Source organism: Homo sapiens, chromosome 1 (assembly GCF_000001405.40).
Source record: "Homo sapiens chromosome 1, GRCh38.p14 Primary Assembly".
Classification (NCBI taxonomy): Eukaryota; Metazoa; Chordata; class Mammalia; order Primates; family Hominidae; genus Homo; species Homo sapiens.
This window is the reverse complement of record NC_000001.11, coordinates 81897403-81914993: the sequence shown is the minus strand read 5'-3', so window position 1 is coordinate 81914993 and position 17591 is coordinate 81897403. Positions and strand designations below refer to the sequence as shown.

General features: G+C 35.3%; 1 protein-coding gene across 64 annotated transcripts in view; it reads right to left on the bottom strand.

Annotated features, from left to right (window-relative positions):
* Positions 1-17591, bottom strand: part of ADGRL2 (adhesion G protein-coupled receptor L2) — a 687801-nt gene that overhangs the window by 78939 nt on the left and 591271 nt on the right. For all 64 annotated transcript variants that reach the window (NR_171658.1, XM_047416152.1, XM_047416118.1 and 61 more), the window contains one exon: positions 7764-7977. Coding sequence is in view for 63 of the 64 variants with exons in the window: in XM_047416152.1 (XP_047272108.1) it covers positions 7764-7977 (214 nt within the window). In the remaining variant the exon portion in view is untranslated. The remainder of the gene's footprint in view (positions 1-7763; positions 7978-17591) is intronic.

Here is a 17591-nt window from a genome sequence, read left to right as displayed (position 1 = left end):
ATTTCAAAATTTATTAGTCTTTCTTGCACACTAAATGTGAATGTTTAATAAGTTTCATGTTTATTACTGCCAACAGTCTCCCCTTCCTATGAGTGCTTTGCTTTAATGTCCATCAGTAAGTGACATGCAAAGTATGTGTCCAATTAGGTATACCAATAAGAGCTTTAATGGTTATTTATTACTGTACTAAAATTCAAGAATCTATATTAGTAGACTGGCCACAGAGATGTGCTTGTAATACCAGTTAGTTGTCTTGAAACAACTAGGCCACGAGTGAGAGAATTAGTAGAAATCCATCAACTAATAGAAAATAACCTAAGTAGATTGCATAGACATGATGGGTTAGGAGCGGCCAAGTTATTTCATTTCCCCCGTATGTATTTTACCCTAATGGACAAGTGGTGGATAAACCTGACATGTCAAGTAGATAAAAGCACCTGGGATAAATAACATAAGGGTAAGAATGCAGTTTCTGAGACATGGCAGGCTTAGATCCTAAGAGAATGAGTAAGTATACTGAATGAATATGCTAAGCAAGAGTAACCCTGACTAGTAAGCATTCATAATAATTCAGGAATAAAATATACCAACCCCAAAATATTATGAAACACCATAAGACATACTGCACTAATTTTTCCCTTTGAAAAATGCCATTAATGAGGAAGAAATATGAAGATTTTAGAAAGATGAGTTTACAGTTTATTGTAACCTATAGGAAAAATCAGAAAACAAATATTAATTAAATAAAAATATCTTTCATATAGCTCTGACTTGGATACAAAGCTTCTTTATGAAGAATGGATGATCAATGTAAAAAGTTGAGAGGACTGTACGTCAACGAGAGTATACACAAGCCGAAATCTATAATCATGAAGTCTGCCAGAGTACACTGGCAGAACTGTGAGTGCATTGTAATGAATTTTCTTGATTAAATTCTGAGAGGCTTCCAATATTCACCACTTCCCATAGTAAAGGGGTGTGTGTGTGTGTGTGTGTGTATGTGTGCATTAAGTATCTCCCTTGTTTAAATATTTTATATAAAATTAGTATCTATTAGTATATTTGAAAATAATAGACATGTTAAAAGTCTAGATAGCAAAACTGAACTTCAAAGTTATTTATGAATACATTTTCATGCCAGTAAGATATTAAATGAATGAGGTTCTAGGTACAGGCGATTTGAGGTTTCAGCCCCTGTGGAAAATAATCCAACCTTGTTCTAAAGGCTTGCGAAGTAAAAAGAATATCAAATTGCCACTCCTTCTCAAGGAGATTTTTTTAAAAGTGAGAATATACATGTAGCTATGTGAACTAAGTGTACCAATTATAATGACATCAATTCCCCAAGTGTAATTAAAGGGAATTAGAATATGATGAGCCTCAAGCTCCTCCGTAGCTCTAACAATCTCAATAACTCCCTTAAAATAGAAGCCATGGCCTATAAACTCTCCCATCCCCTACAGAGTCCCTATTTATATGGCTTGCCTCGTGGCAAGAATGGGAGGTGTCATGGTAGAGGGTAAGATCATTCTGCTTATTCCAGACTAAGGCATACATGGTCCTTTCCATGTAGTCTTACTTCTAACTGAATGTGGAAGTATGCACTCAATTTTCCAGTCTCACTCTGCATCCACTGTAATGTAAAGAACCACAGAACAAAGTAATGCACATACATATACAACAACACATTCCTTCAAAGCCTCTGGCACACAAGAAGTTCTCACCACTCCATATGCTCTCAAGTTTAAAAAGTAAAATAAAGTGTAATTATTATACTTAGAGATAATAGGTTAGGATATTGATAAGTTTAGAAAAGGGAAATTCAAGAACAGAAAAGTTACCGAATGGGGTATAGAAAGGGAATAGATTATTCTGGTGCCTACATTTAGAGCTTACTTCCATTATCCCAACCTTTCAGAAAACACTGAGCTTTGAAATCAGCTTTGTTGCTTATAGAGCTTAAGTTAATTAAACTATACCTAAAGTTCTAAAGCTAGATTTTTTTCTCTTTCTCATAGAATAAAAATCCTAGAAGTTTATCCCTACTTTATAAATTCAGGTCTTATATTTATTCATCATCTGGCTCCATGTGACCAGAGTACTACCTAATTCCTGCTGGTCTATGCAAGGCAAGGCTAATTGCTATTTCTTGATTTCTATCTTGAAACTCTCCTATCTCGAAAATCCTAACATGTTCTTTTATTTGAGCTGTCAAAATAGAATAAAAATCTTCATCATCATCAAGAAAATTCAAGTATCTCTTTTGTACTTTGCTACTGGCTTCTAAAACATTAATTCTCCCACGTCTGTTCCGTTTTTTTTTATGGCAATTTTACCTCTGCTCCTCAAATGCAGATGTTGTCTAGCAGGTTTTGCGTACTCAAATTACATAATCTCTGTGGGTGATATCATTTATTCACTGGCAACTATTCAACTTTATGTTTACATTTGTTTCTCCTTTACATTCTTTGTTGACTACTCTTTAAGTGCCAAACCTGTATAAACAATGGCTTGCTGCACTATTTATTTACATGCCACCCAGTTCTGAAATAAACTTCAAGGAATTTGAATGGATAGTATAACAACCAAAAATATAATGAATTTTACTTAATAAGAAACATAGGCTGGGTGCAGTGGCTCCCGCCTGTAATACAAACACTTTGGGAGGCTGAGGCGGGCAGATCACTTGAGGCCAAGAGTTCGAGACCATCCTGGACAATATGGTGAAACACCATCTCTACTGAAAATACAAAAATTAGCCGGGCACAGTGGTGCGCGCCTATAATCCCAGCTACTTGGGAGGCTGAGGCTGGGGAATTGCTTGAACCCAGGAGGCAGAGGCTCCAGTGAGCAGAGATCATGCCACTGCACTCCAGCGTGGGCAAGGGAGTGAGACCCTATCTCAAAAAAAAATAAAAAATAAAAAAAAATAAAAGAAACATCATAATGTAAGTAGGCTATGAGGTTCTAGTCAGGTGCTACCTTTAACTGTGCTTAAGTAAAATTTTTTTGGTTAAAAGCTTTGAAGGAGCCAGGCTAGTTCCATAAATCTAGGCCATAACCTTACTTTCCCTGGGCAATTTCAATCCATCCCCCCGCAAAAAAAAAAAAAAAAAATGGGAGGCAGGGGGCCTATTTTATACAAAATACACCTTACTACAATAGGGACTAACTGAAGCACATATTTTCACCGTCTTCCTCACACGGTATGTATTACGTTTCATACTTCTTTGTATTTACAAAGGTACACTCACATGTCTACGAATTGCTTTGCAAAAGACCTAACTATGCATGTGAAACTCACATTTAATATTGAAAAATAAACCAGTAAATATTTACATAATTACTTTTAGATCTCTAGGCCAAAGTGCTAAAAACTTGAGGTCATGTTATAAAGCATCATCCGAAGCAGCAAAACTACCTTGATAACAATGAGCAGGTTTTTAGAGTGAAAAAACAGTTAAAATTTGGCAGGACGATCTTCAGGTATAATCCAGTGTATCACTTTAAGACACCTACTAGTTTGTACCCAACTGCTGCAAAGAGACAATACTGGTAGCAAAATTCTCATTAATTTGTTAATCAAGTACTTCAAAGTAATAGTAGGATTTGTTTTTTTGGTTTGTTAATGAATTCAAAGTGTTATAACTTTTATATATTTTTAAGTTGCCCCCCCCAACAATTATCTTTAAAGAGTACTAAATGGTGACTGTTCTATAAAATATTAAAACAAATATCATTTTAAGAAAGCATTTCATTTCTCACTTTTTAGGATGAGCCTCTCAGAATACTTAAGACAGTATACTATAATCAGTTACTACTAGAGCCTTTAGTTTCACACTTTTAAATGAACAGGAAATAGAAAATGGAGAGTGAATACAATATTTTTACCATGTCCACAGCCTGAATTACAAGTGTATTTATTTACTTGATTCTCAACTGCTGAAGAGATAACATGGAAGAAAGGGAGTGAAAAACACAAGAGGAGCAAAATACAATGAAAACATATTTTAATGGTACTGAAATTTCTATGCCCATCTCTATCATCACATGTAAAAAAAAAAAGGAAGGGGGGCTTTCAAATTTAATGGAAAAATTCTAATGTTTTAATGTGAACTTTTCAAAGACAAACTTTCTACATTAAAGAAATAAACATGTCTCCCATCACTACATGACTGAATATCACATTTTTTGAGAAATATAAAGGGGAAAATCTGCTAAACTATTAGGGTTTTGGGATTTTTAAGTTTTTTTTTTAAAAAAGGACAAGTTATTCTATATAAGCAATAATTATTTATACTATCTTACATATAGGAAAATTCTAATAAAGATGCCCGGAGTACCACAATTAAAACAAAAAAAAAAAGGTGCCAAGAGTTAGGTGTCTCGTATCTAATACAGAAAAAATGATATCCATTCTCAGCAGTTTTCTGTATTATACTTATATGTGGGAAGGCAACAGTCCAGTTAAGAGGTATCATTTATATAGCTTTAAAGTTTATAACACATTCTCAAACACACCATTTTTAAAACACAAAATTAACCAATGATGTATTATCTACTTTCTATAATAAACTGGGGCTCAGTGAAGAAAAAAAACTGCTCAAATTCAATAAAGTAGAAATTATGAGTTTACCTTTCAACTCAGGAATTGAGGTAGTCTATCATATTAGGACATACGTATACTTTATATTCATCTCTACCTTTCTCAATTGTAGTATTATTATTATTATTATTATTATTATTATTGTTTTTTAGGCAGAGTCTCACTCCGTTGCCCAGGTTGGAGTTCAGTGGCGTGATCTTGGCCACTGCAACCTCCGTCTCTTGGGTTCAACAGATTCTTCTGCCTCAGCCTCCCAAGTAGCTGGGATTACAGGTGCCTGCCACCACGCCTGGCTAATCTTTATATTTTTAGTAGAGACAGGGTTTCACCATGTTGGCCAGGCTGGTCTTGAACTCCTGAACTCAGGTGATCCACCTGCCTCGGCCTCGCAAAGTGCTGGGATTACAGACGTGAGCCACTGCACCTGGCAATTGTACTATTTTCAAAGTGGCTAAACACCAATTTATAACCATCTTTAACACCTTAATACAAACTACAGTACCTCCAACAATCAAACAATTATGTCAAATTTTATACTGTCTTGAATTTGAATGATACTGAATTTGAACGTGGGCAAAATTTTCCTTACATCTAAATTTTAAAGAAAAGGCAACTGGTCTCTTCCTTATAACCATCTTGGGCAACATATAAGGTAAAAAAAAAAACAAGCAATGGTTTGAACTAGAAAGAATAGAACCTAATCAGAATATGTTTACCTTAACTATCTGTATACTATTTGAAGATGGCAGAAATTCTCACTTAATATTCAAAAACATACTTTGCATCTTGGCTTAACACATCTGTCATATTGACAGCCTTCTCTATGACTTCTCTAACCTACTGAGTAAAGCCAAATCTGCTAGGAAGAAAAGCCAGAAAGTGTTTAATCTGGTAAAAAGATATTTTACCTATAATTCGTTGAAGGATACAAGGAATTCTATACTTAGTTTTATGCTTTCTTAAGTTGAACTTGTTATTTAATTCTGTTTGCCTGTTTCTATGTTTTAAGTCTTAACTATATAAATGATAACTCTTAACTGGAAGGAATGAAAAAACAAGCCAAAAACTGGGAGAAAATATTTGAGAAAGAGATATATGATGAAGGACTGTTATCCCAAAATATACAAAGAACTCTTAAAACTAAATACTAAAAAAAAACCCCTCAATTTTAAAAATGGGCTAAGATTAAACAGATACAAAAAAGATATACAAGGCCATGCATGGCAACTCACATCTGTAATCCTAGCACTTTGAGAGGCTGAGGCAGGTGGATTTCCTGAGGTTGGGAGTTTGAGACCAGCCTGGCCAACATGGTAAAACCCTGTCTCTACTAAAAATACAAAAAATTAGCCGGGCTTGGTGGCTTGCACCTGTAATCCCAGCTACTCAGGAGGTTGAGGCATGAGAATTGCTTGAACCCAGGAGACAAAGACTGCAGTGAGCAGAGATCACGCCGCTGTACTCCAGCCTGGGCAACAGAGTGAGACTCTGTCTTAAAAAAAAAAAAAAGAAAGAAAAAAAAGATGTACAGATGACAGTTAAGTATACAATAAGTATATCAAAAATGTTAAACATTTCATGTCATTAGGGAATTACAAATTACAACATCAATAAGACAGCAATACACACTTAATAGAATGGATTTCAAACACTGGCAACACTGAATGCTGGCAAGAGTGTGGAGAAATAAGAACTTCTATTCATTGCTGGTAGAAATGGAAAGTGGTATAGCCACTTTGAGCTAAACATACTCATACTATACAATCCAGCAATTGTACTTTATTTGCCCAAATAAACTGAAAACTTATACTCACACAAGAAACTGCACACTGATGTTTACAGTAGCTCTATCCATAATTGACAAAACCTAAAAACTACCTATATGTCCTTCTGTAGGTGCATGGATCAACTGTGTCTATCCAGACAATGAATATTATTCCATTCTAAAAAGAAATGAACTATCAAGCCAACAAAAGATATGGAGGAAATGTAAAAGCATATTACTAAGTGAAATAAGCCAATCTGGAAAATATCTGTGGCTACCAGTAGTTAGGAGGATAAGAGGGATGAACAGGCCAAGGACAGAGGATTTTTAGGGCAGTGAAACTAGTTATGCATCATTAACAAAGGGATACTTTCTGGGATATGCATTGTCAGCCTATTTTATCATTACAGGAACAGCAATGAGAGTATTTAAACAAACTGAGATAGTATAGCCTACTACACACTTAGACTATAAGGTACAGTCTATTGCTCCTAGGCGACAACCTGAATAGCATATTATTGTACTGAATTCCACAGGCAATTATAATACAATGTTAAGTGTCTGTACATCTAAACACATTTAAAATAGAAAAGATAATGCGTCACACTACGACTTGATGATGGCTAAGAGGTCACTAGGCAACAGTTCAGATCCATTAGCATCTATGGAACCACCATGGTACACGCAGTTCATCACTAACCAAAAAGTAGTCATTATGTGGCACATGAAGGTATTCTGTATGATACTACAATGGTGAATACATTTGTCAAAACTCATAAAATGTACAACGCCAAAAGCCAATCCTATTGTAAACTATGGACTTTGGGTGATAATTATGTGTCAATGTGGGTTCATGGACTGTTAACAAATGTACTGCTGTGGGGCAAAGTATCTTCAGTTGAGAAACACTCTGTGTGTGGATATGGATCATATGAGAAATCTCTGTACTTTCTACTTGATTTTAATAAGAACCTAAAACTGCTCTAAAAAACAAAGTTTATTAATTTAAAAAAAAAAAGTTAAGTAGCAACTAATGCCAAAGACCCAGGCACTTCAACATTCTTGATGTTACAAAAAGTATTTCAAATTTTCGAAGCCTTAAAAACTAAGATTACATTTCAATTATTCTTGCTTTTTATTTCATGTTTATATAACACAAAAAGATACGTATTACATATTCTGATACATGTCAAGCTATATTAGAATGATTTACATATTTGAATGTTGATGAAAATATAAAGTGTAGATATCAACATTAGTAGGTAAAAACCCAACTCAGTTTAATAAATAGGCTGGGATGTGGTCTATATCCATTCGCTTTGGAATAACTGTAATAATTTTTCTAATTTGGATACAATAGCTCAAATGGGACATTAACACATGAATATTTACCTTTGAGTCATAATTTTGAAGGCATCGGGGAGGTAGCAGTCTGTATTCTCCATCTGAAATGGGTCAGCATCACAAATCTTGTCATCCGTCCGACCATAGTTAGCGCTCTCAATCATGATGACATCACTGCCCGGGCATCGCAGATCTATAGAATAACCTTCACAGGATAATTCTCGCCTCACCAGCCCAAATGGTAAAGCTGCTCTGCTGAAACCTTAAAATAAAAAAGAAAGAAAATTAAACTGTAACTCATTTATAAGATAAATTATTTTAGTAAAGCATTTTCAAGTAATATGATTCATGTCTATCGTCAAGAGATGTCATAAAATTCAGGCATTTATTAAATAATTTTTTGGTTCTCTACAATATGTCAGAAAATTATTTTTTATTCATCTTTATTTGGACTCTTCATCTTTACAAAATACCCTAACAAATTACTTTCTGTATAATCAGAAACTAAATGGCTTTTTTAGTAAATCCAAATAATAATGACAAATTTAATCATGGATTTTATAAACGGTGACAAGTTTTACAAACAGAAAATATAACTACTAATCAAGAAAGAATTTTCATTTGTGCAATGGAATGAAGGCTCTGCTACACCCACTGGCCTTACTTTCTTATTTAATGTATACATATTAATTGCTATTGCATTATCTTAAAAAATACCTTCATCTTAGCAGTTTTTTCCCCACAATAACTAAGATATTTATGACAATAAGATGCTTATGGCACAATAACTTATTTCCATTTAAATACCCTTTATTTAAAACTGACACTGAAAGGAATCAGCAGATGGACATTCAAAGGAGCTAGCACTGCTCCCATCCAACTCAACAAATTCAAAGACCTGAACATGATCTTTTCTGAGATGTAAGTATATTCTTCCAAAGCAGTACTGGGTGACATACTGGTATGATTTTAAAAAGCAGCAATTTTCAAACCTGGCTGAACTCTCAGTTCTTCAGAGAAAACTAAAGGTGTAACTGGACTGAAGAGGGAAGAAAAGAATACCTAACCTGGAACTCAGAAATCTTCAGGAGATTGTGGCAAACCCCAAACTTGGTAGGTTTTCACTAACAAGGTTTATAGTATATGGAGAGTACTGTAGCATGTGGAGAGGTGCACTACTAATGCAGAAGGGATACAGAAACAGAGCTGGGTAAATGTCAGGACAAATGGTACACAGGCCAAACTTCCAAAATATATTTCTTCCCCAACAAGTTCATAAACTTTTATATGTACACACACACACACACACACACACACACACACACACACACTCTGCTTTTTTCTCCATCTCCTGACCTTGTACTGAAATATCTATACAAATAATTCAGCTTAAACTAGTAGTACCATATTTATTTTAATAGAAAATATTTTTATGGCTTCAGAAGCTGACACATTTCTGTGGCAAAAGCTATGTGAAAATTCAAACAAACGACATCAAATAAAATTTTGAAATGCAACCTATTTTAAATACAGAGGCAATTTGCAATTACAATTCTATAATAAAACAGAATAAATCTATTATTAGAAAATGCTAGGAATATTGGAACACATTATTAAAAGACTGGCTTGGAGCCACACTCGCAATTCTTACTATTTTGTCAAAACATAGAACTGATTATGAAGCACTGTGGTTTTTAAAACCCAAGCCCTTTAACTGTTGTTGTTGTTAGTTTGCAGGATTAGAGTTATCATTCTAAGTGAATTTTCCTCTGCTTTTGAAACCTATTTGGGAATTGGCATAGTTGAGTGTGTTACCGTTTTGATAATTCAGGGATGGCAGTCTTAAAGCTTTGGTCACAGTCATCCAGAAAAGTACAGTAAGGTCTAGCGCTGTGGTTCACGCTTGTAATCCCAGCACTTTGGGAGGCTGAGGCGGGTGGATCACCTGACGTCAGGGGATTCAGGACCAGCCTGGCTAACATGGTGAAACCCCATCTCTACTAAAAATACAAAACTAGCCGGGTGTGGTGGCGCATGCCTGTAATCCCAGTTACTAGGGAGGCTGGGGCAGGAGAATCATTTGAACCTGGGAGGCGGGGGTTGCAGTGAGCCAAGATGGCACCACTGCACTCTAGCTTGGGCAAAAAGAGCCAAACTCCCATCTCAAAAAAAAAAAAAAGTATAGTAAGGAAAAAGAAAAGAAAGATCAGTGCACTTTAATAATTTAGTAGATTGCCAATACAGAATCTACTGGAGAAAAGAGATCATGGTACTTGCTATCGTTCGAATATGGCTTGTTCCCATCAAACTCAAGTAGAGGCTTAGTCCTCAGTGTGGCCATACTGGGAGGTCGTGCCTTTAACAGGTGACTGGGTCTTTATAACTCTTTCTTTCCCCCTGCCCCCACCCCGAGACAGAGTCTTGGCTCACTGCAACCTCTGCCTCGCCGGTTCAAGCAATTCTCCTGCCTCAGCCTCCTGAGTAGCTAGGATTACAGGCATGTGCCATCACGCCAGACTAATTTTGTATTCTTAGTAGAGACAAGGTTTCACCATGTTGGCCAGGCTGGTCTCGAACCCTTGACCTCGTGATCCGCCCACCTCCGCTTCCCAAAGTGCTGTGGTTACAGGCATGAGCCACTGTGCCCAGCCCCAAAGTTTTTGTTTTAAGACTGGGTTAGTTCTCAAAGGAATTAATTAGTTTTTTGCATTCCCTTGTCCTTCCACTTTTCAACCATTCTAGGAAGCAGCATGAGGCCCTCACCAGATGTGGCTGCCCACCTTCGACCCCAGAACCCCAGAACCATAAGCTAAATAAAACTCTTTTCTTTATAAATTACCCAGTCTGAGTATTTTCCTATAGCAACAGAAATTGCACTAAGAGTTCTTAATAGCAAATACCACTTTATTTAATCCTACAATGTATTTTGATTTAAATCATTAATGTTCTTTTCTAAATTCTTTCTCTTACCTGTTTTGATTAAACTTTATATATGCAGATATATTAATCTTTACTAATGTGCTTATTAACATGTGATACAGTGCATATTCACTTTTAGTATATATATATATCTACCCTGCTAGACTGTAGTAAGGCTCTTAGTTATAATCTCAATGCCTACAATAGCACATGATACATAATTCTTATAAATGTGGAACCAAATTGTTGAATTAAACTAGTGATTAACACAACATAAATTGCAATGTGCTTTCCTTTGTAATGTCTATTTCCTTTGGTAGTGAAAACAAATGGTGAACATTAAAAACAAGGCAAACTACTTATCAATGAAAATTATATGCCATCTCCCCCACCAAAAAAATATTTAAATTGTCAATTTATTATTATATATGTATCACTGGAATTGTCATAAGACAGATGGGTTACATATTTATACATTTCTCTTATCTAAAGTCTGTATTTCCAACCAAATATGTGTGTGTGTGTGTGTGTGTGTGTGTGTGTGTGTATATAAAATGTGTATATATATATAATGTGTATATATATAATGTGTATATATAATGTGTATATATATAATGTGTATATATAATGTATATATATATATAATGAATATATATATATTCTTTAAAAAACAAATATGAAGAGAGAAATAAGTATTACTTGCAAAGCAATTACTATGTGCTGGCACTGGCTTAAATGCTTTATATGGATCACTTTGTTTTATGTTCAACAACATAAAAAATAAACAATGGAATAGTTGCTGTTATAGTACCAATTTTACAGAGTATGAAACTAAGGCATCAAATAGTAGTAAATTTAGGGTCTCAATCTTACCACACGTTAGATTCTAACCCATGCAGGGAGCTTAGACTCCAGAACCCTTCTCTGATCAACTCTGACTACTCAAGCCATTTTGCTGATAAAATAACAAGATTTATTTTATAAGTCTTCATACAATCTGAAAATCACCAAAGAATATATTAGTAAAACTGACAAGAAATAATTATTGTAAAGGTTCACAAAACTACATGAATAGTAGTGAAAATCATATTTGTAGAAATGTAAACATGTGTACCATAAATATAAAGACAGCAAATGCTATACTGTAGGTACACATGGAAAGAGCACTGAACACTGAAGTATGAGTATATGGGTCAGTCTTGTGACTTTGGGCAAAGTCATTTTACTTCTCTGGGTTTTAATTAAAACCTTTTCTGAAGAATTAAAGCCATTTCAAAGTCTTATAAAATTTCCTCAATCTGTAAGTCTAAACAGGCAAGCTCCTTTTAATCAAGTACACATGCTATTCCAACATTTCAAGTGATCGATAATTAATAAACAACTTGCTCTGTTTTCTTAAAATATAAATATAACAACATTGTTAACATGGATGTGCTGTGCACATCCATATAGATTGTGAGGTACTGTCAAAATAATTTTCAAAAGTCCATGTGACAAACTAAGCAGAGTTCACACAAATCACAGGAAAACATCTTCCTAGGTTAACTATTTTAATCAATGACTTAGTGGAAAAGAGAAAATAAACATGAATCAATTATGGAAAAGTTCTCTAGTTGTGGCCATGATGGGAATGGGTGGTCAGACATGCCTCATTGTACTTTCCTTTCATTGGAATTCTGACACAGTCTGACTATCCTTAACATTAAAACAGAGACCTTAAGACTGACAGAACTGCCCCCCACCCTTTGTTTTCTGAGATGGAGTCTTGCTCTGTCACCCAGGCTGGAGTGCAGGAGTGCAGTGGTGCAATTTTGGCTCACTGCAACCTCCACCCACCAGGTTCAAGTGATTCTTCCACTTCAGCCTCCCCAGTAGATGGGACCACAGGTGCGCACCACCATGACCGGCTAATTTTTGTATTTTTAGTAGAGATGAGGTTTCGCCATGTTGGCCAGGCTGGTCTCAAACTCCTGACCTCAGGTGATCTGCCCACTTTGGCCTCCTAAAATGCTGGGATTACAGGTGTGAGCCACCACGTTTGGCCAGAACTGCCTCTTTAAATATGGTAAGAAATATTTCCAATCTATTCTCTCTTAATACCTGCTACCTAGAGGCTTCATCTGCATAATAAGAACCCTGGTCCTCACAACCCCTATCTTAACCCAGACACTTTCTTCTATTGATTCGGGTCTTTATTAATAGACAAACCCCTTCAACCAGTTGCCAATCGGGAAATCTTTGAATCTACCTATTACCTGGAATCCTAACTCTACCCTTTGGGTTGTCTTACCTTTCCAAACTGAACCAATGAACATCACTCATGTACTGATTTCTGACTTATGTCTCCCTAAAATGTATAAAACCAAGCTGTAGCCCAACCGCCTTGGGCACATGTTGTCAGGAGCTCCTGAGGCTGTGGCACGGGCATGTCCTTAATCTTGGCAAAACAACTGATGGAAAATAAAAAGTTTACACACATTTTTAAGAAAAATATAAATTGTTGTGCCTTCTTTGACCATTTTACACTATTTTCCTGAAAACTTCAAGGGATATAGCTCAACCTCTTCCACCAACAATGCTACTTTAAAGGAACTTTGAAAAGCCTTTAATAAAATTATTGCAATTAGTATCAACTTTTAAAACCCAACATTTTCACTAAATAAATCTTATAAAAGACATAAAAACCCATTCCTGAAAACATTTATTTATTCCTTTATTTGTATCACATTAATGATCTAGAATACTGACTCACGGGAAGAAATCATCAAAAAAAAAAATATATATATATATGTTTTAATCCTTTGCCAAGTCTACATAATTGATTCCCAAATATGGTTACATCAGAATCACCTAGTAAACTTTTTATAAAGACAAATCTTGAAGCTCTATCCCAGACCTACTGAATCACAATCTCTGGGTCAGATGAAGCTACACTATCTGTAATTTGTACAACAAAATATTAATTTACTTATAGCACACTGGTATAATAACTAAGATGTGCAAAGAATGTCTCTAAGGCCTTTGAAAAATAGTTTTTTTTTCTCTGACTACGTATTTGTTGTCATTGTCATCATATTTCCTCTTAATTCTCCAAGATAGTTTTACTTTGATTTTTGAACGTATTTGTAATAGCTGGTTTAAAATCCTTATATGCTAAATCTAACACTGGGTCCACATCTGAGGCAATTTCTATTTTATGGATCAACTTTTCTGTTTCTTTATGTATCTTATAAATGTTTTGTTGTTGAAAACTATACATTTTAAATAATACACCATTAGCAACTCCGGTTTCAGATTTCTTTCCCCTGAGAATTGCTGCTGCTGTCGTGGTTTCTTTTTAATACCTCAGCTGTATTTAATATGCAGAATCTCTGCCCTCACAGTGTGTGGCTGCTTATACCTTTGCTCACTGTTTTATTTTAATTCGCTTGAATTCTTATTTTTATTTTTTAGCCTCGGCTCCTAGATATCACCTCTGTCTGCATGGCTTAGTGGTCAGCCAATGACTGGGCAGAGACTTTGCACAAAAACCATAGGCCCATTATTAAGTCTCCACTCTTTGCTGATGTGATTGTATGTTAGAAAGAGTATTAAAAGTTCAAGTAGTTTACAAGTCAGACTCAGTTATTTACTTGCTGCCAAGTCCTCTCATGTCTCCTCTGTACATGTGTTTAGCTTCCCAGTTAGTTAAGAATGCACAGAAAGTTTATGGTTTCTTCATTTCCAAGATTTCCCTGTTAAGTTTCAGAATGGTTTCCAGTCATCCCAACTGGAACTACAACCAAAGGATAGCAGAGCTACAGGTTTTCCCCATTTTTTTTTTTCCCTACAGTGTTTACTTTCATTGACAACACTGCTGGGCATGAGTTTCCACTCTCTACTCCAAATCATGTCAGCTCTTCATGGCAGTAAAGCCACTGGTTTTGAAGGCCAATCTTGCCCTGATGAAACTTCCACAATGACATAGTTAAGGAGTAAGAGATGGAGGGATTGCGGGGGATAAGGAGCAGCCCGATGCTAGAAGGCTTTAAACATCTGCTAGAAGTTCTAGTAGATTTTCATAAATAATGTTTCCCCGTTTGTTGTTTGGTTACTTTCCAGCTCCCAAAATGGTTGTTGTTGACAATTCTAATTTTACACTTGTTTTAGAGGGAATTTGCCACCCTCAGAAGTCCCTCTAAGGACTGTATAAATATTTCCTGATTATGAATCCTCAAAACAACCATACAAGATAGGTAACATTATTATCAACATTTTACAGAGGAGGAAGTTGAGGCAGAGAAAGATTAAGTTTTCTACAGTTATATCCAATAAAAATGAAATTAAGATTTCAAACCCAGTAATTCAGCTCCTGGGTTCATGTTCTTAAATGTTACTTTAATGCCTCTCCAAACGATGATGGCCATCAGCAGCAGGTTTGGGGACAGAGTTGTAAAGAACATCGTTATGGTATGCTGGCTGCTACTAGTCTTGGGGAAGAAAAGGAACAGGAAAGGAAACTGTGTCTGATGGTCAGGGAAATGGCTTGGTGAACATAATCAACATAAAGAAATCCTCAAATTAAAGCCTTTTAACCACACTATTACTGTGATATTCATTCCAAGCCGTATTTTCAGTCTATTTCTATTTCAACAACAACAAAAAAATAAGCATCCCAACCAGCAAAATGTAATCTAATCCATCTTGCAACCCTGACAATTGAAGAGAGAACTGGTGGGAGGCTCTGTGAGCAAAAAATCAATATTGCAGCTTTGTGCTGTGCAAATGTGAATACCACCAAATAGCGGTGCTTAGAGTAAAATGAACTGTTTTGCTCCATTTTCTCCTCTCTGAACAAATGATTTTGAAAAGACAGTTTTTCCCCCCAAGCTATAAAATGTCAAGATATAACTCTCTCTGCTTTAGGCTACTGATCGGAATAAATACCTCCCGGCAACAGGTGCAGCAACTTAAGACTGAAATCATTCACATTCAGGGGTAATTCCTAATAAACAGATGCACTGCTACCGGATGGGAATTTGTAAGACCAGAATTGAAATTCTATCATTAAATTTGGCATCACTTATAAGCATTTCTGCAAGAAAATATGCTGCTCTGACAACAAACAGTACATTTTGTTGTGATAAACTTTAAGTGCTTGTTGAGGAACATTTGCTTTTCTAACAAAGTCTCCATTAACTCTGTTCCTTAAAACATTTCTGTAAAATCACACATTCCCATAAAAGTGTTCTTACTACGCTGTACTATAAAGAATTCAACTTTTCTTGTACTGTTTTTCTTAATTACTTTGAACTAAATACTGTCATGTTTGCTACTGCTCATGCTGTTTGAGGGTCCCAGGAAGCACCATGCTTTTTGATTATCAGGGACCTCTATGAGAGTGAGGCTGTGACTCTACGCCGTGCTGAAACATTAACTCAAGCCATAGTCTATTACCAGTGCTGGCATATGAAATCTCTTTATTACTCCTGTTTATATATGTTAGCAAAATTTCTTCCTAAAATGGAAATGAGAAAAATACTTAAGGAGGAGGGGACATGATTTCAACCAGGCTGAAGTGAAATTTAGAAGCATCCAGAAAGCTTATTTCAATTTCATCTTAACTTAGATGAAAATAGTGTTAAAAGTAAACCTAAAAGATAAGTTGTCACTGATAGTCCAACTTTTTCACTCATCTCTGCATATTCATGGAGCCAACTAAGCACAATTTTTAAAATCAAGGATGCGTAATAAGGCTTTTTTATACCACAAGGCAGAATGTTAAAAACCTATTTCGTGTAAATTTGTAGAAGATCCTTTTGTTTTAATTACTTAATTAGATCCACTTTAGAAATGCCTTTATCAATCAAACCCTAAAACATCTACTTTTTTGTGCTTACTTATACGTAATTCCTTTCACCTGTCTGTATTATGTTACAAACCTAAACTACGACACGTGGAAAGTAAAAAAGACCTACTACTGTCACCTTTGAAATTGTTCTTATGCAAATAATTCAGAAAATAAAAGAATGCAATGTCATTTTCCAGAATAAGCACACTGGCCTAGAAAATGTTGTAATTTGTATATAAGTGGGGTGAGCATGAAATACCCAACAAATGCTTACAGAAATATGAAACTGTTGCAAAAGAAAGTGTTCCAACAATTTAAGATCATATAACTACACAATCATCAACTCAGTCCAAATAAGTGATATGCCTTAGTTTTATGTGTCATTTTGGTTTAGAAGCTGTTTTTTTGTTTGTCTGCTTTAGGGAGAGAGTCTCACTCTGTTGTCCAGCTGGAGTGCAGTGGTACAATCATAGTTCACTGCAGCCCCAAGCTTCTAGGCTCAAGCATATGGGCTCGAAATCAGCCTCTTCCTCACCCCAGAGTAGTTAGGACTGCAGGCTCATGCCACCATGCCCAGCTAAATAAGCTGTTGATTATTTTGGAAATATTTTAAATAATGAAGTACTTCAAAAAAATTTTTTCTAAGAAGAATGTTAACAGTTTATTTGAAATCTTAAGTAAAATCAACTTAAATACAAAATAGTGTTACACTAAGAAATACACCAATATTTTCTAACAAATACATGCATAATGAAAATACATATTTAAATCCAATTATGCAAGCTACAAGGTAAAAATTTTCAACTTGGGGACTTGCTAAGAGTCACAAAATTCTGGACACTCTAGATGCTCTAAGGTAAAAATATACTTTTAGAAAACCATTAGCTGATAGTTTCAAATACTACTACTTCTGAAAAGCCTTTTGACATTTTAAAAAGAAAGTACACATTATGAGTCAAAAACACTGTGGGGTTAAATTCCTTACTAGAAAGAAATTAATTTCTCCTACCTAAAAACTTCTAAATTATCTACCACTAATTAATAATTCACAAGTACCATGAAAACATATTTCAGTTATAAAATATTATGTTTAATACTTAACTTAAAAAAATTCCTGATAAGCACAT